Below are 20,990 nucleotides of genomic sequence, written 5' to 3' on the forward strand. Positions count from 1 at the left end.
TTTTGTTCGAAATTCTAAATAACAATAATTGTACTCAATCTTAAAATGGATGCTACCATTGGCTGGGCATGGTGGCTCATTCCTGTAATCCCAGCACTTTGGGAGGCCAAGGCAGGCGAATCATGAGGTCAGGAGTTCGAGACCAGCCTTGCCAACATGGTGAAACCCTATCTGTACTGAAAATACAAAAAATTAGCTGGGCGTAGTGGCAGGCACCTATAATCCCAGCTACTCGGGAGGCTGAGACAGGAAAATCGCTTGAACCTGGGAAGTGGAGGTTGCAGTGAGCCAATGTCGTACTGCTGCACTCCAGCATGGGCAGCAGAACAAGACTCCATCTAAAAAAAAAAAAGGATGTTACTTAATGGTTCTGTCATTAAGAATTCAGTTATCAATGGAATCAGCTATGAGTATTGGTAAATACACAATTTAATTAAAACCAAGGTATTTCTATCTAGGAAAAAAGGTCCATTCTCAAGAATTACCGAGAATTCATAAAGGATAGAAGTCAAAAAAGTTTAAGATGTAATCATTCATTTTAACAATGTTTATGCAAAGTCCAGATCAAGTAAATTGAGTGACATGGTATTTTAGTCTGTTTTATGCTGCTATAACAGAATACCACAGATGGAGTAATTTGTAATAAACAGAAATTATTTGGCTCACAGTTCTGGGGACTGGGAAGTCCAAGAGTATAGTGCAGGCATCTTATGAGGACCTTCATGCTTCATCTTCCCATGGCGGAAGGCAGAAGGGCAAGAGAGGGTAAGAGCGAGAAAGCAAGATGTGGGAAAACTCACTTTTATCACAAACTCCCTCTTGAGATAACTAACCAACTCCCATGATAATGACAGTCCATTCATGAGCACAAAGGCCTCATGACCTAATTACCTTGTATCAGGCCTCACTTCTCAACACCATTGCATTGGGGATTAAGTTTCCAACACATGAATTTTAGTGGACAAATTCAAACTATTGTATATAGTTTCATATCCTCCATGACTGACATTGCTCTGCTAAAGCATACACTAAAGAGAAGCAAAGGACTTGAAGGAATTTGGATATCCACTTTAAACACACATAGAGCCATATATTTATTATCTGAAGTTCCACTGTACTTTGACACATATATACAAACCTTTGGTTAGTCTTTATCTGCATTTTAACCCTTAATTTCTAGAACCTTTTATCTCTAAATTAATTATCATCTCCATGGTTCCTACTTACTTCCTTTTTCAATAAAAATCTGATTTATCTCCCTTTTATAAGAAAATTCCAAATCTTTAGAAGATGCTTCTGTCTCAGGCTTCTCATTTCAGTATTAAACAGATAGGGTTTTTTCATAAGCAGATTAAATTTTCTCCTTCCAGGGTTTGCGCGTGCACACACACACACACACACACACACACACAAACATACACTAAATTTCCTAGCTTCCTTCCAGCTCTCTGAGAGTCTGTACCCTTTAGCAGTGTAATTTCCTATTAGAAAACTCATAGACTAGCTTACTTCTCTGTAGCAGATGAATTAGGTGCAATTTATCTGACAGAAGATTGTTATAAAACTAGGTAACCCATTTAAAAATACATCAGCCATCTGCAGCTTAAGATATATACTTTGCCTTCAAAAATACATTTTATGGTTTTCTAGCCTTGCTTTGCCATTTTTTATCACAATCATTTTTTAACCTCAAAATGTGTGAAATGTATGACTTTACTGATCACCTTTACTTACACAGGCCTGTATTTTAATTCATAGGTGATGGTGCACAGTTGGATTTCGATGCCCTATGTGACAATGATGACACAGCCATGGCTGCATTTATGAATTACTTAGAAGCAGAGGGGGGCCTGGGAGACCCTGGGGACTTCAGTGACATCCAGTGGACCCTCTAGCCTTTGATTTTTAACTCCAAAAATGAGAAACATTTTAAAGCATTTCATTTACGAAAAACTGTCTCAACTATTCTTAAGTACTGTATTGATATTGTTTGTATCTTTTATTAATGTTCTACCACTTTTTATAGATTTGCATCTTCCTGTCACAGGGATGTGGGGAAATACGTTTTCCTCCCAAGAGAACCAAGTTTATTATAGACTCCTTTATTCAGTGAAATGGCTTATAATCCACTAGTTGCCATATTTTTGCTAAAATATTTCTAACCAAGAATACTACTTACATATTGTTTTGGCTTTGTTTTATTTTTGATGCAGTTTTTTTTAGTTGAGGTAATGTAATATATTGATGTTTTCCTTTGTGTCTAAGATTCATTTATAATAGTAGGTTTGTATAATTTGGAACATTTTCCATTCCTTGCGAATTTCCTTAATTGAGGATAGGGCTTACACACTTTAAGAAAACAGTGAGTACTTGAACATTTAAAGGGACAGTGCAATTTATAGTCATAATCACATTGAATACTGTATTTGATCTTTGGAGACTTAGGCAAGCACAGAGCTGGGATATTTATGCTCAGTTGAGCACTTTAAGATGAATTTTAAGTGAGATGATTTCTTGCTTAAAACTCAGAAAGTCAAAAGAGTTTCAGCTTTCCTTACAGAAAAGGAAGGATCTTGGGCCCTAGATCTTGGGGATTAACCTCTGCATATAAGATTTACTCTTAATAGGCCAGACGTGGTGGCTCACGCCTGTAATCCCAGTACTTTGGGAGGCTGAGACGGGCAGATCACTTGAGGTCAGGAGTTCAAGACCAGCCTGGCCAATATGGTGAAACCCCGTTTCTACTAAAAATACAAAAAAAATTACCCAGGCACTCACTCTTGAGGTAACTAACCAACTCCCACGATAATGACAGTCCATTCATGAGCGCAAAGGCCTCATGACCTAATGGCACACACCTGTAATCCCAACTGCTTGGGAGGCTGAGGCGAGAGGATTGCTTGAACCTGGGAGGCAGAGGTTGCAGTGAGCCGAGATCGCACCACTGCACTCCAGTCTGGGCAACAGAGTGAGACTTCATCTCAAAAAAAGTAAAAAAAAAGATTTAATATAATCACTGAAGATCTCTATTATAGATAGATTAGGTTTTTGACATTGGAAACATACTTAGGGATAGATTTGTCCTAAAGGAAAAAAGTAGGCCCGGGCAGATTAAATGTCTTGTGTAAAGTCACACATTAAATTCAGTCACACATTAAATTCATAGAGTTTTAAATGTTTAATGTATATAAACCAGTTTCTTTATACACATTTGGGAAAACATTGGTCTCACAGATTAAATGATTAACTAACTGACCCAGGAACTAGTTGTAGCTTTCTAAGTAATTAGGCAATTACAGTTATTGCCTGTAACCAAAGGTAATAAAACAAAATGACAAGTACATGTTTAAAATTATGAGGCAATGAGAAATAATTTAAAAACCAATTTTCTAGTTATAATTTAAAATTTGGAGAGCATTTTTAACAGTAATTAATCCAGAGGTGGCTCAAATTGAGTATAAGAATTAAGATTATTTAAAATACTGCATGTCTACCTTCTCGGGGATCATACTTTATAACACTTTCTGCTTCAGTAGCTCTTCATAGCTTGCCAAGTATGCTCCCATATTTTCTCTCTCGTGCCTCGCAAATGAAAGTCAGATAGGCTGGGAACTCATGGGGCAGCCCTCAGACTTCAATGTGGGCTTCAAATCCAGTTTCCTGTTCTATATGGTGCTACATCTTTCCAGAAAATTTCCCTCAGAGCCCCTCGCCAAAACAAAGCATTATTTTGACCCTGCATGCTATTTCTTTAGCTGTAGGTGATAGATTAGAACTTCTGTCAGACATGTTAATGACAAACATACCAACAGACAATAACCAAAAGCAAATGTTTCCTTCAAGTGTGAAATGTGCAGGGGCTTCGTGGGCAAGGATGTATTGGCACACTGTCCTCTTGAACTGATAGTGTCCCAGCAATGTTGGAGGGTTGGCACCATTCCTGGTCCGACACTTGAGGACCTGAGAGACATCAGGTTTAGAATGAGCCAAAGAAATCCTACAAGATGGGGAGAATTGGTGTGCAGCAGCCTAAGTGTTATAGTTAAGTCTAAAGAAGTATGAAAGATCCCCTGTGTTCTCTAAATTGAGCAGAGGGGCCTGCCTACCAATATCACTTTTTAGGGGACTGAACCATTGCAGGTTAGACTTGGCTTCCAAAGAGTCTGCCTAAGCCAGGGGTGGCAGGGTAGGCCATCATAGCTGGATGGCCTCAAAAGCAGATGGGGGCAGACTTGCCCTCGTGATGCCAGGATTTGAGAGGCAGAGTTTCTAGAGGGAGACCAGTGCTGCCTCTCACAGTGGCAGTTTTTTCTCTTTGCAAGAGGAGGGGCTGTTCAATTCCATAGACCAGTGGGCAGATAGCCAGTTGAATACTCTGTGCATGGTTTGATCCTTTATTAGTTCGCTCTAATATTTTTCTGTAGATCCTTTTGTCCTGGACTCAAAATCTAATCCATGCATTGTATGATACCGTAGCTCTCCTAAGGTTTGTGTTTCCTTCAAAATGTTTTAGTTTTCTTCAACTAAATTTGATTTTTGCTGTTAGAAGTGACATATTTTTATGGTATACACTATGTTCCTTTTTTCTACTGCGAGTCAATTTTTTGAATTTTCGTGAGAAAGAATATATCTACAAATTGCACGAAAGTATCATAAAAACAGTACTCTAGACTTTTCTTTTCTTTTCTTTTTTTTTTTTTTTTTTTTTTTGAGATGGAGTCTCGCTCTATCGCCCAGGCTGGAGTGCAGTGGCGCGATCTTGGCTCACTGCCATCTCTGCCTCCTGGGTTCACGCCATTCTGCCTCAGCCTCCAGAGCAGCTGGGACCACAGGCGCCCGCCACCACACCTGGCTAATTTTGCTTTGTATTTTCAGTAGAGACGGGGTTTCACCATGTTAGCCAGGATGGTCTCGATCTCCTGACCTCGTGATCCGCCCACTTCGGCCTCCCAAAGTGCTGGGATTACAGGCATGAGCCACTGCGCCCGGCCTACTCTACACTTTTTTTAACCCTAAGAATTACCACTACAGTAATGTAGTGGAGTGGGAAGAGTGCCTGGAATCAGAAGACCCTGTTGAGGCTGAATTTAGCTGTATGACCTCATGCAAGCCATTTAAACTCTGTGCCTCAGCGTCCTCATTTTTAAAAGGAGGTTTGATCTCTATGTTTACTTCCAGCTCTGATTCTGGGATTCTAATCCACAGGACTTGGGTGTTAGGGTGGAACCTAGAACTGTGCTGTCCAGTGCAGTAGCCACTAGCCACATGTGGCTACTGAGCACTTGCAATGTGGCTAGTACAAAGTGAGATGTGCTATCAATGTAAGATACATACCAGATTTTGAAGACTAGTATTACCAAAAGAATGTAAAATATCACATTAATAATTTTATATTAATTACATGTTCAAATGATATTTTGGATATACTGAATTAAAACATTAAAATTAGTTCTACTTGTATCTTTTTACTTTTTTAATGTGGCTAGAAGAAAATAAAATTATACATGTGGCTCAGATTATATTTCTATTGGACAGCGCTGCTCTAGAACATTATATTAAGTGGTTATTATTGAAGTAGACCAAAGTTTATACCATAAGGATATTTTTCCTTAAATACCATGTTTGAAGAACAATTATTTATTGATCCTTGAATCTGTAAGATCAAATAACAAGTCTCTATCCATGTTACCAAATTTAAACTTTTGAAAATAATAAACTTTAAAATATCAGATGTGTTATTACAGGATGATACTTGGAATCAAGTGAAATGAGTTATATGGTCATCACTAAATTTAGAAATCTATTGTGAAACAAAGACAAACAGGAAAGTACAGAATAGAGACTTTTAGTAAATAAATGGAATTTAAAAGAAAGTGTTTATTTACAGTGTCACGACAGAAAAGGATGTCTTTGTTGTCATAGTCTTTGAGGGATCTCCGTAAAATCTGGGGCACAGGTACAAGAAATAGCCAATATTTAGTTCCCAGACCATGTTTAGTAGTGTCCAGTTTCAGATCATGCTGCCAAGAGGTATCTCCCCCTCAGGTGGGTCATCACTGAGCCCTGGAATTGGAGACTCATACTTGCCCAGCACAATGTTACGGGCAGACAGGCCGACATCTATGATTAGCTAGAAGCCATAAAGAAAAGCTGCTAAGTGGCCACTAGGTGCCACTTTTCTGTTTTTGTAATGCTTTCATTAGCAGATCTTTTTTTTCCAAGCTCCATGGGGCCTATGAGAGGCATTTATGATTTTTGTGCCTACAATAAGTCAGCCTGTCTGGTGTGAGTTGTTTTATGAGAAATGCTTTCCAAGGGAGGTCTAGGAAGATCCTGACACATAAGAACTTTGGCTTAGAGAGCTTTCCAGGTGTAGTGCCAATAAAAACTGACCTGGAAAGAAAACCTGCCCAGCACGGAACATGCTTTCTGAACTCACTTGAGAGTGTATGGTGTATGTCACTTCTCATATATTCTTGAGTTTAGATTTGTCTTTTATACAATTTTTAGCTCTTTTCCAGTTCACTTGTGCTCGTCTGTATATTGGTATTTTTAAATTTTTGTGGTAAATAATGAAAAGAGTGAAATTATATTTTATAATTACTCATTTGTAGTTTTTTTTTTTAATTTAATAAACTTCCTCCAAAAAGTGCTCCCTTAACTACTTTCTAATGTGGAAACATAGATTAAGGAAACCATCCAGTGCCCTCAAACCACTGGGCAGAGGGGTACATTGAACTCTGTTACTATATATATTTCTGGGTATGTTCCCCAGGGTATACTAACTGCTGTAACAACTCCAAAATCTCAGTGGTTTAACCAGTAAAGGTTTCCTTGTGCTCACGTCAGACTCCAACGTCATCAGCCTTATCTGTCCCTCTGACTCTCTCCTCCTCCCTTTCTGCCTCTTCCTCATTCCATCCCTCAGCTTTGCTTTCCTATGAGCTGGTTTTATCTTCCGGTGGACCCTCTCCGCATAATGACACTCAGAAGTTCCAAGCGTATATTGTTCTTATACCTGACAATTTCAGTGGAAAGAGAGCCTCTCTATTTCCTAGTAATTCACATGCACATATGCATTGACTGGGCCTCTGGATCAACTTGGTTTACCTGGACTTTCTGTTGTGTGGTTGCAGTATCTACACTAATTCTAGAGAGTCAACCATCATGAATTATAAGGTTCTATTGTCCCTTCTGCAGATAACCCTGTCCTCCCTCAGGCCCCAGGCTGTCTAGCTGTTGGCATCTGACATCTTTTCCCCTTCAAGGATGCCTTTAAAGTTTATTTTAATTTATTTAATCAGAATTAAAATGTTAGGAAGGGAAGGCAAAATAAGCAGTAGGTTCTTTCCAGGTCAACAGCCTGGAATATACAGATTAGCCAGGCTGTGATACATGCTCAACCTTGGGTTGAAGTTTGGCGAGGCAGCCCTGTTGGAATCTGGGGATCTCCCATGGGGATCTTCCAACACACTGGACTCTCCTCTTCCCCAGGTCTCCCACTGCCAGCACAAGAGGCTGTGAAGGTGAAGAGGATACAGATTTAAGAGATTTGTATTACAGAAGTAGGATGGCAAGAACTTGAGGACCAATTGCATATGGGAAATGTTGAAGCAAAAGCAGTGAACAATGACTCAAGTTTCTGGCCCCAGGGGTCTGGATTGCAGTGCTGTTCAAGAGGTAAGAGTTACATGAGGAGAGACAACTTTGGGGTAGAAGATGCATCACTTCTAGACAAATTGTGTTCAGGTGATGTCTAGCAGATAGTTGGATATGTGAGTATGGAGGATGGGAGAGAAAGCTGAGATGAGCGGCACACTGAAGCTTTTGAGCCTCAGTTTCTTCATTCGTAAAGTAGACTTCATTTGTAAATACCCTTGCAGAGCTTTAGTGAGGATTAAATTAGCTTATGTAAAGTGCTTACACATTGTCTGACAGTAATTTTAACAATGATCATTATATGTTAATTTATAAGCTCTACAGTATGATAATAAATGTTGGAAATTAGTGTTATAGAGAAGCTTCATCATTAAGTTAGTAAAAAATTCCTGAGACTATATAGCAAACAAATATATAAGTAGTACAACAGTAATTTAAGCCTTGCAAAAGTTTAACCCAAATAACAGTAGAAATTCATAACCAATGGGAAAGCGTTAAGTACCTAGAGAACCCAACTGAGGTAGGGTGTTTGGGAAGACGTATATCTACAGCACAAAGAGGTAAACAATTTTGTTTGCTAAGGTGGACATCTATAAGGCATTTTAAAAGAAAGTTGAAATGGTTCCTAATAAATGACATCATTTGTTTCAATGACAATTTGTTTCAAATAAGTAAGCACTTATTTATCCTGTGCTATGCTCTTAGAGACAATTGAAAACGCCACAGTCCCTGCTCTTAAGAGACTACAGTTTGGTAGAAAGACAGTGGAAAGCAGTAACTATAGAATGTGATAGCTGCTACTTTAAAGGGATGTGCAAAGTGCTAATAGAGTATGGGAAGGTCAGGCTTTAACTTTGCTTGTGAAGAGTCATCAAAATATGTTATACTCTGGCAGTTTTTTCCTATTTATCCAGCCCAGTGGTTTTCAAATTTATTTGCATCAGAATTACATGGAGGACTTGTTAAAACACAGATTATGGGTCTCCTCACGCCCATAATTTCTGATTCAGTTGGTCTGACTTGGAGCTTGGGAATTTGCATTTCCAGTAAGTTGTCATGTGATGCTGAGGCATCTGGCCTGGGGACCACACTTTGAGAACCGCTGATCTTGCCATTCACAAACAACAAATGGACGTATCCACAGACCTCTTATTCTAGGGCTCTTCTGAGGAAAGTAGAGTAGGGAACAGAGGGCCTCAGGAGGCCTACCTACTTATTTTGCCTACCCTACTGCTTATTTTGCCTTCCGTTTATAACATTTTAATTCTGATTAAATACATTAAAATGAACTTTAAAGGCACCCTTGAAGGGGAAAAGACGTCAGAAATAGCCAACAGCCAGACAGCCTGGAGCCAGAGAGGGGAAGGGATGTGCAGAAGGGACAAGAGAACCTCTTGTAATTCATGATGGTTGACTCCCTAGAATTGGTGTAGGTACTGCAACCACACAGCGGGCTCTTCTTGCCTGCTGTCCAGATAGAACCGATTTATCAAGATGGGGAAATTGCAATAAAGAGTTTCATAAACGCAGAGCCAAGTAAATGGGAGACTGGAGTTTTATTGTTACTCAAATCAGCCATCCCCAGAGTTTGAAGGTGAGAGTTTGTTAAAGATACTTCGGCAGGCAGAAGGGTAGGGAATGGGGAATGCTGATTGGTCGGGTTAAGGATGAAATCATATGGGGTTGAAGCTGGTTTTTCTTGCTGTCTTCTGTTCCTGGATGGGATTGCAGAACTAGTTGAACCGGATTACCCTTGTGGGTGACACCAGTTGGTTCATCAGAAACATCTCTGAACACCAATGTTAGGTTTTACAATAGTGATGTTATCCACAGGAGCAATTGGGGAGGTTGGGAATACTCCTGAGCCATAATTTCTGATCTTGTAAATAATTTGTTAGTTTTACAAAGGCAGTCTGGTCCCCAGGCAAGGAGTGGTTTTGTTTCAGGGAGGGGCTGTTAGCATCTTTGTTTCAAAGTTAAACTATAAACTAAATCCCTCCCAAAGTTAATTCAACCTACACCCAGGAATGAACAAGGACACCTTGGAAGTTAGAAGCAAGATGGAGCTGGTTAGGTCAGATTTCTATCACTGTCATAATTTTCCTATGTCAGATTTTTCTCACTGTCATAATTTTTGCAAAGGCACTTTGAGTATGTGAGCCTCAATCTTTTTGTTTGGCTGTTTTGGTTGTTTTTTGTTGAGGAGGGGAGGCAAGGCAGAGAAAGCTGTGTCACACCTTTTTAATGTTAATCTTGGCCACCTTTTTTTTTTTTTTAAAATACTCAGCCACTAGTCACTGTGGAGGACTCTGTCCATTGCTTAAGGCATTGTGTGTTGAGGGAGTCAGTAAAGAATTGTCTTAAATTCTTGTCCAGCTGTGTGCCTCTGGCCTTGGAATGACAGTTTCTTAGACACTCCTGGCTCCTGGCTGACTTTAAGGCAATGCTTCTCACATTTACTCCTGTCCAGGAGGAAACCTGTTACATTTTACCTTGGGGGTAAATACATGAAATAAATGTACTTTTTTTTTTTTTTTTTTACAAAACTACACTAAAATGGGATGCCTAGATTACATAAACTTAAAACTTACTAGAGCCCTTGAAAATTTTATTCAATACTTTGTTGACTGAGCAATCACCCAAAAGGCTTCCCATCTACCAGAAGGGACATGTAGACGAATATCACATAATTAGCTGATGATTAAATTATTTGGCAGCCCATGAATGTTCAGTTTGATTTAGCAAAGGTCAAGCAAAACACAGTTGTAGTGTCTGAAATATCTATTCTTGAGGGAGAAAATGGACACATAGATTATATGTAAAATAATTAAAACTTATGGAGTAAAAAGACACTATTTCTTTGTAGTAACGTATTAGTAGCAGATTGCTTTTTAAATTTTTTTTCTGTTTGTAAAAGAACTTTACATTCATTTTTGGAAAATTCAGGATTATATAAAGGTGCTAAGAAGAAAATAAAAATCACCTAATAAAAAATTTTACCACCTAGTGAAAAACCATAGTCAACACTTGAGTAGTCTTTCTCTTTTTTCAAGGCCTTTATATTCTAATGACTTTTTTAAAGTTAGAATCCTACTGTTTAATACAAAAAAGAATAATAAAATTGTACAAAGTAATGCGTATATTGGTTAAAAGTCAGATAGCATTTGAAGTCATAAAATTACAAAAAAAAAAAAATAGTCCCCACCTTAGCCCTAATTCTTGTTCTCCAGAGCAACCACTTATACCTTTTTTTAGCTGATTATCATATTTATAGTTATGTTTCTAAGTATACTTTTATTGTCACTTCATGAATGGCCCAGAATGAGTATAGAATAGGAAGTCAACAATTCATTTAAATATTTCTTTATTATGAAGCATTTAGGATGTCGGAAAGTTTTGCTATTGTGGGTAATATGACAGCTAACATCCCTTCTAGACACACACATGCTGTACACCTCTCTCCTGTTGTTTAGAATGAATTTCTTGGAGTGCAATTGCCAAATCAAAATTGCCCAATTGCCATAAAAAACAGTTTGCATTCAGCATTCTTTCCAGAGTTAATTTTATGTGGTTAAATATGTTGATATTTCTTGCCTAATTTCTTTGTTGTTATGCTTAGGAGGGAAAACTTCTCCACCCCAAGATCAAATAAACACACACCTCAGTTTCCTTCTAGGTGTCCTGTGGTTTCGTAGTTTATACTAAAGTCTTTGATCTAGCTGAAGTTTATTTTGGCCTCTAATAAGATACAGGAGTCTATTTTTCTTTCCAAAATATTATGCCCTTTCTCCACAACTCTTCAATGACTAGTCCTTTCTTTTCCCACTGATTCGAAATGTTGCCATTACCATCGATTAAGTTCTTGTATATTCTGGTACTCGTTTTGAAATGAAGTAATGGTGGTGGTGGGCAGGGAGTTGAATTAATGTGATTGTCTGTTCTTTCACCAGTACCAAGCTGTTTAAGTTAATAAACACAGTAGAGTTTGATACTGATCTTTCCATTATGTGATAGTATATCACTTTTTCTTCTCTTATTTTCTGAAAAGTGTTCAAACTATAAAATATAGTTCTATATATTTTGTTTATAAAATATAAGAAAACAGAGGGAATAGTGGCTTTTTCTGACTTTAACATTTCCTTTTAAAGTTTTTAATTTATCAGACTACCCATCAATGAGGCAGGAGAATTGCTCGAACCCAGGAGGTTCCACTGTGTTAGAACCAAACTTTCAGAAACAGTTTGGCTGTGTTAGCATTCCTTTAAACTTTTGTTATATACAGAAATCTAATTCCAACATGTTTATTCTTGGAACCATCTGCCCAATGCTACAATCTGAATTCTCTTGCGTTGTTGAAATTTTGAGGGAATAAGAATAAAATCGAACCTTTATTAAATACTTACCGTGGCTGGCACAGTTCCTAAGCCTATTACACGTATTAATGTAAGCCTCCTAAGAATCCTGAAGATAAATGCTGGTATTATCCCCCATTTTACACACAAGCAAACTGGGGCTTAAGAGTTAAGTAACTTAACAAGGTTACCCCACCGCTCATAAGCAGTGGAGTTAGAATCCAGACCCGAGCAGCTCGATGCATGCTCTCAACTGTGATTTTGATAAACCTTTGATTTATTGTGTGCTCTCGGGGACCCTAACCCCCTGAACTCAAAGCACAGCAATTTCTTTTACAAAAGATATTTAGTTATGAAAAAACACATGAAATTTACTATCTTTTTTTTTTTTAAGACAGCTCTGTTGCCCCAGACTGGAGTGCAGTGGTGCGATCTCAGCTTACTGCAACCTCCGCCTCCTGGGTTCAAGCCATTCTCCTGCCTCAGCCTCCCTAGTAGCTGGGATTACAGGTGTGCACCATCATGCCTGGCTAATTTTTTAAATTTTTAGTAGAGATGGGTTTTCGCCATGTTGGCCAGGCTGGTCTTGAACTCTTGATCTCAAGTGATCCGACTTCCCAAAGTGCTCGGATTACAGGCATGAGCTACTGCACCTGGCCTCAATTTACTACCTTAACACTACTGAACCACACATTTAGTGGTTAACTGTAGTCATGTTGTTTTGCAACAGATCTCTAGAATGTTTTCATCTTGCAAAACTGAAACTCCATACCATTTCCTCTTCTCCTCAGCCACTGGCAACCACTGTTCTGCTTTGTTTCTAAAGATCGAATACTTTAAATACAAATACATGAAGTATTTGTCTTTTTGTGACTGGATTTCTCTTAGCATCATAGCCTCAATGTTCTTCCATGTTGTACCATGTGACAGAATTTCCTTCTTTTTTGAGGCTGCATAATATTCCATTGTAGATCACATTTTAAAAAAATCCATCCGTCCATTGAAGTACATTTAGGTTACTTCTACCTCTTAGCTATTATGAATAATGCTGCCAGGAGCATGGGTGTGCAAATATCTCTTCAAGATCCTACTTTCAATTCTTTGGACATATACCCAGAAGTGGGATTGCTGGATCATATGATAATTCCATTTTCTTTTTCTTTTTTTTAAGGTAAGAAATCTCCAAACTGTTTTCCGTAGTGGTTGTACCATTTTACATTGCAATCACCAGTGCATAAGGGTTCCAGTTTCTCCACATCCTTGCCAACTCTTATTATAACTCTTGTTATACTCCTATTATTCTGTTTATTGGATAGTAGCCATCCTAATGGGTGTGCAGTGATATCTCATTGTGGTTTTGATTTGCATTTCTCTAATGATTAGTGTTGTTGGGTGTCTTTTCGATGTTTGTTGGCCATTTGTATATCTTCTGTCCTCTGCGCATTTTTAAATCAAGTTATTTGGTTTTTTTGTTGAGTTGTAGGAGTTTTTAAAAATATATTCTGGATGTTAACACCCTATCAGATACATGATTTGCAAATATTTTCTCACATTCCATAGGTTGTTTTTTCACTCCACTTATTGTTTCCTTTGATGTGCAGAAGCTTTTAAGTTTGATGCAGTCCTACTTGTCTATTTTTGCTTTTGTTGCTTGTGCTTTTGGTGTCTATTTCCATCTCAGTTGCTGAAGCACGTGTCGTACTTATTTTGGAAAAAAAATACATTAGAAACTTTTAACAAATGCCATGAAATACATTTTGAAAACCTTAGGAAATTTCTTGAAATATGTAGTATGAAAATTGTATTTGTAAATCATTACTCAGTTCAGCATTGTAAATATGAGAGGCTAATTTATACAACTATATAAGAAGAAATGGGAGACAGAAAAAAAGAACCATCCCTGTTCATATTTAAAAGAGGGATAGCATTTGTACCATATCCTCTCTACATCTCCAGCAGGTGCAGCTAAAGAAATATCACGTTTTTCTTGTTGAACCCAAAGTGGGCTTCAGAACCCTTTTCAACACAGAGCTCCAGGCAACCATTCATGATCAACTGAGGTGACACATGACATGAAATCTATTTGTCATTATGTCTTCAAAAACACTTCCAAAAGCATATTCATTAAAGCAGAATTCTCCAAACATGTCACGTTGAAAAACAGTCATAGCTGCAGATTCACAATGATTACAAGCATATTAAACTCATTGAGAAATCCTCCCAGACAAATTCTTTCACTGATTAATCCTCATTTTTTATATTGATTTGTCCACAGAACCATTTTTGTTATATTGTTTCTATTAAAATACTATGAAATTAGATTTGTATGAAATAGTATTATTGAAGCAGTTCTCCAGTATTTGCTACAGAATGGCCATTTATAACATTGGTGTCAGTTCTCTGGAAAATGTTAGTCAACTTTATTCTACATCGTAACTATCTTGTGGAATTTGGTCTCCACAAAAATGTATAATTTTTAAAGGTTAAAAAACAGGAAAAAAATAAACATACACGTACACACATATAGACGTGTGTGTGTGTGTATGCTAGCATTTTCAGGAATACAAAGCAGCTAAAAAAGATCCATTCTCTTTTATCACTAGATTTAGAGGATTGGTCGCTAACAAAACAAGAAGGAAAAATTAACAGCATAAGAGTACAGCTGCAAAGTTGACTAATATTATCTGTGGCAGCTTAAGGAGAAAACAATGTAGTCATTCCTCAGCTATGGAAACAATCCAAACTTATATAAATAGAAAGAGGACATCTTAAGGGAGGGGGCTACCTCTAAGTCAAATAAGAGGGCATCTGCTCTAGAGATGGGATGTCCCACACCATGGGCAGATGCAGATGTGTATACACACACACACACACACACACACACACACACACACATATATCATATTCTCAACCAGGAATGAACATTGCAAAAGTGTCAGGAGAAAGGAAATTCTAAAACTCTACCCAACTTTTAGTGATTATTTTAAACTATAATTATTAAAAATATTGAAAAACTAAGCCACAAAAGGAATGAAGTCATTATTAATTGGATATCTAGCTGGTGTTTTACACAAATGAGGAATCATGGCTGCTTAGGCCTACTGCCTAGAGGCCGTTCTTCCTTTAACTCTAGATTATGTGTTTACATAGATACAGTTTTGGTGAGCATTTATTATTAAAATATTTCTTCTCAAGAGGTCATAGAAAATAAGCAAAGTTATTAAAAATCATACCAACAGTTGCCCTGAACGTGCAAGATTGCAAAACATTTTTTGGAGACATGGTCTGGCTCTGTCACCCAGGCTGGAGTGCGGTGGTGCCATCTCAGCTCACTGCAACTCCCACCTCCCTGTGCAAAACATCTTAAAGCTTAATGTTTTCCAACCTCAGATGTGTGGCCACAAGAACAACCATTAGAGAGTAACATGCTATGTGGTTCTGAAAAATAAAGAGCTGCTTTCTGAAACATAACCTAGCGCCAAAACAGAATCCATCAAAAATAAATGTTGGAATCTACAGTGGTTCCTAATATGTGGTCCTGAGACTGATAACATTAGTGTCACCTGGGAGCTTGTCAGGAATGCAAATTCCTGCGCCCCACCTGAGCCCACTGAATCAGAAACTCTGAATATGGGGCCCAGAAACATGTAATAGGCCCTCTACGTGATTCCGAGACACGCTACTGTTAGAGAACTATTGCTTGCTTTGTGTCTGGTATTAGCTTGGTCCATTTTATCTAGACTTGTTGAGGCTTCTTATTCTTTGTGATCTTAGTAATAATAGAATTTCCCCACATTTGAAGAGCAAAATACAGAGACAGCTTTCCAAATATAACATCTAATGAGCTGTCAAACAATGACCCTCCTTCTGTAGCAAAATTGAGTACAGAAGTTGTCTATGTATCTTTAGAACACAAAAAGAAGATATGTTTCAGGAAAACAAACCAACTGAAAAAGATCCATTCTTTTTTATCACTGGATTTAGACAATTAGTTTATTTAAAAAAACAAGAAGAAAAAAATACTGCAAAGTTGACTAGTAATATCTGTGGCAGCTTAAGGAGAAAATAAGGTAGCCATTCCCCAGCTATGGAAATAGTCCAAACTTATATAAATAGAGGACATTTTAAGGGAAGGGGGTACTGTAAGTCAAATAAGAGGGCATGTTTGCTCTAGAGATGGAAGGGGTGTCCCACACCATGGGCAGCTGCAGTGACTGAGGGAGTGTCTGTAGGAAGCTGTCTGCTACACGAGGCGGCACCTGCTACCAGGCCATGGAAGGTTCCACTCACAACCACCACCTTCCAAGGGGCTCCTGAAATCTCCCTGTCCTCTTGGAGACCTTCACATTCTCTTTCATAGCAGGGTAAACTGTGCTGAGAAGCTGGGGTTCCCTAGCCAGGCACGTTTTATACTCCTGGGTAATGTTCCCATTTTGAAGGGTTTCAGATGACTTCAGTTTTCAGATGACAGTGACACATTTTCTAGAGCAGGGTTTCTCTACCTTGGCACTACTGACATTTGTATAATTCTTTAATTATACATCCTGTATAATTCTTTGCTGTGGGAGCCTGTCCGGTGCACTGTTGGCTGTTTAGCTGCATCCCTGGCCTCTATCCACTAGATGGCAGCAGAACCCCCCCCCCCCCCCCCCCCGGCAATTGTGACAACCAAAAATGTCTGCAGACAGGGCTGAATGTCCTCTGGGAGGGTGGGGTGCAAAATCCCCGCCCCCATAATGAAGAACCCCTACTCTAAACTCTAAAGAGGTAGTTTTCCTTTCTTTCTGTCAAAAGGGGCAGGAAAAAAACATTCTCCTGTTTGTTCTTTATCTTCATTGATGCCACCACTCATCTGATTCCTATTTTGCTTTGTTACCTCTCTCTCTCTCTCTCTCTCCCCCCCATCCCCCATCTCTCTCCTCTCTGTCTCTGTCTCTCTCTCTCTTTCTCTCTCTCACTCTTCTTCTTTCCCTACCCAGACTGGTCCAAGGTTATCACTTCACTTACTCTGACAATGTTCTCAACCTCCTGGCCCCATTATCTTTGGCTCTAGTGACTCCAAAAATTCCCACCTCTGGGTCAGTTCAGCTCTCTGGTGACCCCATTTCTACACTAGAGATACCAGGCATCTCTGGAGAAAGTCACAGTTCTGTATAAATTCATGGTCTCCCACCAATGAGCCTCAGTGAGGCAGCGTGGGGTTCTTGTTTCTCTTCACCCACTTCTATCTTTTCCATTCCTACTATCTTAGTCCATTTGGGCTGCTATAACAAAAATACCATAGACTAGATTGCTTAAACAACAAACATTTATTTCACACAGTCTGGAGGCTGAGACATCTAAAATCAAGATACTCTCAGATTCAGTATCTGATGAAGGTTCCACTTCCTGGTTCATAGACAACTGTCTTCCTGCTGTGTCCTCACATGATAGAAAAGGAGAAAGGTTGCTCTCTGAGACCCCTTTTATGAAGGCACTAATCCCATTCACAAGGGCTCCACCCTCATGACCTAATCACCTCCCAAATGTCCCACCTCCTAATACCATCACAGTGGGGGTTAGGATTTCAACATATGAATCAGGAAACACAAACATTCAGTCTGCAGCACTCACCTTGGGTGGGGAGCTCATCAGTATTAACAACACAAAGGTTGCTTTGTCTGTTTTGTTTTGGTTTGGTTTTACCTTATTAATACTGCACTTTGGAGAATGGAAAGTGTAGGGGATGGGTGGGAACCATATGGAAAACTAAGGAGTGACCAACCAGATGGATCCACATTTGTCCTGCCAGAATGCAGCCAGGAACAATCCTTCCTCCAGCCCTGACCATGGTGGGGGCATTCACAGGATGGGTCTAGCAGAAGAGGAGAGGGGTAGAAAAGAAAAGAGGAAGAAACGAAAAGAAGAAAACAAAAGAAAGGAAAGACTGAGGGAGGTCAGGGAAATAATGAGCTTCCGGGTGCCTAGCTAAGGTTGACTCTGTATGAATTTAAAAGTAATGAGATGGATCAAGTAAAGGAATGCTCCATCCACTCCATCCACTTGACCCAGATGGATCAAGTAAAGGAAAGCTCCGTCCACTGACCCCCAGGTATGTTCCTGGTGAGCTAGCTAAGAGTAAGGTGGTAAGATAGTGCCCCTCCTGGTAATGGGCTAGATATAGATACATAGGGCATGACAGTAAGGCTACATATATTTATGAAGCCAGTTGTCTTGCCCATTCCCTATTAACAGCAATTTCAGACTTTTTCACTCTCTTCAAACTTTCCATGTCACCACATTGCCCTTACAAAAGATGACTATGCATATCACTTCGCCATGTTCACCATCAAAGTACAGCAGAAACCCCCTTATGGGATGTGGTTGGGACTACACATTGTTACATTAGCTGAAAAGGCTTATTAAAGCAGGAAATCACCAAAAAAGAAACATATATATGATGTAGACATTTTATTTTAACTTAAAACATAAGTGGGGCTGGGTGCATTATCTCACACCTGTAATTCCAGCACTTTGGGAGGCTGAGGCGGGAGGATCACTTGAGCCCAGGAGTTCGAGGCTACAGTGAGCTATGATGGTGCTACCGTACTCCAGCCTGGGTGACAGAGAAAGACCTTGTCTCAAAAAACAAAAACAAAACATAGTGGGCATCCATTTGTTAATCATCTGAGTTAGAGCCAACACCTTTTGGAGAAGGTCCATAAATTGGAGTTCTGCAAAAATAATGGCAATGATTTATCATTGACGATGTCCAGTTTGGACTTTTTAGGTAAAGCAATACAGGTGAAAGCAATTTTGGGTTTTTTTTTTAATCCAAACTTTTATGGTTGATTTTGCCCACACCTACTTTGACCCAAAAAAGTAGCAACTCACCTTTTAAAGGATTTTCCCAAAGCGTAGATTTCATTTAGTTTGATTTTATTTCACTCGATTTTATTTTAAATTGATTCCTTCAGCTCACATTGTTAAATATTATAAGTACAACTGGCATGAACAGTTCACAAAGGGAAGGGGGTTCTTCAGGGGAAAGAATCTATGCACAGAGCTCTCCTGCCATAAATCAGTTTCCTTTTCCTAAACTACCAGTTCACCTGCATGCGCAGCTCCAGCCTACTTCCTGTCAATATGGAAGAGAGCTCCTTTTGTCCAAAGACCCCTTCACCTGGGCTCTGTATCTGATTTCCCCTCAACACCTCAGTCTGTCTCCCTCTTTTGTATCTTCAACATCTCCCTCTTTTCTAAATCCTTCCCTTGTGCATTTAAACCTGCTCTGTTTACTCTGATCACAAACACAATCATCCTTAGGCCCCATGTCTTTCTCCAGTGACCACCCTCCTCTTCACAGTTGGGTTTTTATAAGACTTGCCTACACTCCCGGGCTTCCTGCTTTCACTTCTCCAATTCACTTCTTGTCTCACCTCCTCCACTGAAATGCTTCTCTTCAAGGTCACCACTGACCTCTTGGTGTTCTTTAACATTTATTTCTCTGGAATGTTAGTCACTGCAGACCACTTCTTCCCTTTCTTGAATCTTCCTCCCTCAGCTTCTGTGATATCTCACTCCTGGTTTTCCTTTAACCCGCTGGCCATTCAAATGTCAGAGTTCCTTTAGGCTTCATCCTAGGGCTGCTTTCTACTTGCTTTATTTTCTGTGGTTTCATCCACTCCTATAGCTTTACTACCATTAATTGATGATAACTCTCAAACCTATGATTCCATCCTGATCTTCTCCTTAGCTCCAGAGCAATGCAGCCGACAGCCTACTGGTCATATCTGTTAATATGTTCCAGGGAGAACTTAACCTCAACCTGTCCAAAGTGCAATTCATCACTTTGCCTTTCTTCCCTAACCTGCTTTTCCTCTATTGTCCTTATTTTTCTGAAGGGTACCGATATTTGCCCATTTTCCAAACCAGGAACCTGGAAGACATCATTCACTCATCTCTCCTTCTTACTCTATACATCTGATCAACTACATTAGTCATTCATTCAACAAACATTCATCTATCTGTATCAATCCTTTACATGTTAGAGTTGCCAGTTTAGCAAATACAGGAGATTGGAGTTTCCAGTTCCAAAATGGCCACACAGAAGCAAGCTGGCTTCTCCCCCCACCCACCCACCCACCATTTCCCCCACAAAAAAACAAACAAACAAATATATAGGACTGAGATCTTCACCAGCAACAAACCAGAGCTCAAGTATGAGGATGAGACAGTTCCTGGGGCCACAGAGAAATGGAAGAACTCTTAGACAGTGGTAGGAGAACCAGACTTCTGCACCTGCAATACCCCTTCCACCCCATTCTGCAAGACATGAACCACATGGAAAATCCCCATCCAACTTACGGTTTCTGCACTGGAAAAGTGAAATTGAGGTGGTTAATAAGCTTCCTCACCTTTTTGGTTTTTCTGGCAGGAGAACTGTCCTTGCCTTAACCCACAAGTAGCATTAGGACTGTTTCATGGGAGAGATATCCCTAAGGATAGGCAGAGACAATTAGGGAGGCAGGGCTACCATCTTCAGCCCAGAAACTCTGCTCTGTAACTTGGCCAAAGGAGACACCAGATAAAAGTGGCTGTTAGGAGGTATGTTCCCCAGGACCCCTGGGCACGAACCCTAGCCAGCATTCCCACACTGCTGGGATAATCCCTTTGGGACCTTCCCCATTTGGGACAGGCAGTGCTTCAACCATTTATTATAGGCAAGCTGAACCTTAGCTTAAGGTCACCTAGAATTGAAAAGGAGGCAGTGACTTGAATAACTAATCCTTCAATGCAAAGACGTAGACATATACTCACAAGAAACAAAAGCAAATGGGAAACCATCACCTCGCCAAAAAGACAAAGCAAAAATCCAGTGACTGACCCTAACAAGACGGCAATTTGTGAGCTCCCCAACCAAGAATTCAAAACAGCAGTTTTAAGGAAACTCAGCGATCTCCAAGATAACACAGAAAAACAATTCAGAAATTTATCAGG

General features: G+C 39.4%; 2 protein-coding genes and 1 long non-coding RNA gene across 23 annotated transcripts in view, besides 1 other annotated feature; 2 read left to right on the plus strand and 1 right to left on the minus strand.

The window, feature by feature from the left end:
* The window catches only part of BMAL2 (basic helix-loop-helix ARNT like 2), a 92,451-nt gene extending 85,802 nt beyond the window's left edge, over window positions 1–6,649 (plus strand). For all 20 annotated transcript variants that reach the window (NM_001394524.1, XM_011520768.3, NM_001394525.1 and 17 more), the window contains one exon: window positions 1,759–6,649. In NM_001394524.1, the coding sequence (NP_001381453.1) occupies window positions 1,759–1,895 (137 nt within the window). In that variant the 3' untranslated portion in view covers window positions 1,896–6,649. The remainder of the gene's footprint in view (window positions 1–1,758) is intronic.
* The window catches only part of BMAL2-AS1 (BMAL2 antisense RNA 1), a 56,846-nt gene that overhangs the window by 28,849 nt on the left and 7,007 nt on the right, over window positions 1–20,990 (minus strand). The gene's annotated exons all lie outside the window — the stretch shown is intronic.
* Window positions 4,679–20,990, plus strand: part of SMCO2 (single-pass membrane protein with coiled-coil domains 2) — a 78,870-nt gene continuing 62,558 nt past the window's right edge. The window contains exon 1 of one of the 2 annotated variants that reach the window (XM_047428776.1): window positions 4,679–7,680. In XM_047428776.1, coding sequence (XP_047284732.1) covers window positions 7,630–7,680 — 51 coding nt within the window. In that variant the 5' untranslated portion in view covers window positions 4,679–7,629. The remainder of the gene's footprint in view (window positions 7,681–20,990) is intronic. The other variant, XM_047428775.1, reaches the window with a different exon arrangement.
* Window positions 17,611–18,176: an enhancer, noted in NCBI's record as "OCT4-NANOG-H3K27ac hESC enhancer chr12:27589181-27589746 (GRCh37/hg19 assembly coordinates)". NCBI's record gives its function as "activates a minimal SCP1, AML or CMV promoter by ChIP-STARR-seq in primed H9 embryonic stem cells {active_cell/tissue: H9 hESC(primed)}" and the evidence as "EXISTENCE:reporter gene assay evidence [ECO:0000049][PMID:30033119]".

The sequence above is a fragment of the Homo sapiens genome, chromosome 12 (assembly GCF_000001405.40).
Source record: "Homo sapiens chromosome 12, GRCh38.p14 Primary Assembly".
NCBI lineage: Eukaryota > Metazoa > Chordata > Mammalia > Primates > Hominidae > Homo > Homo sapiens.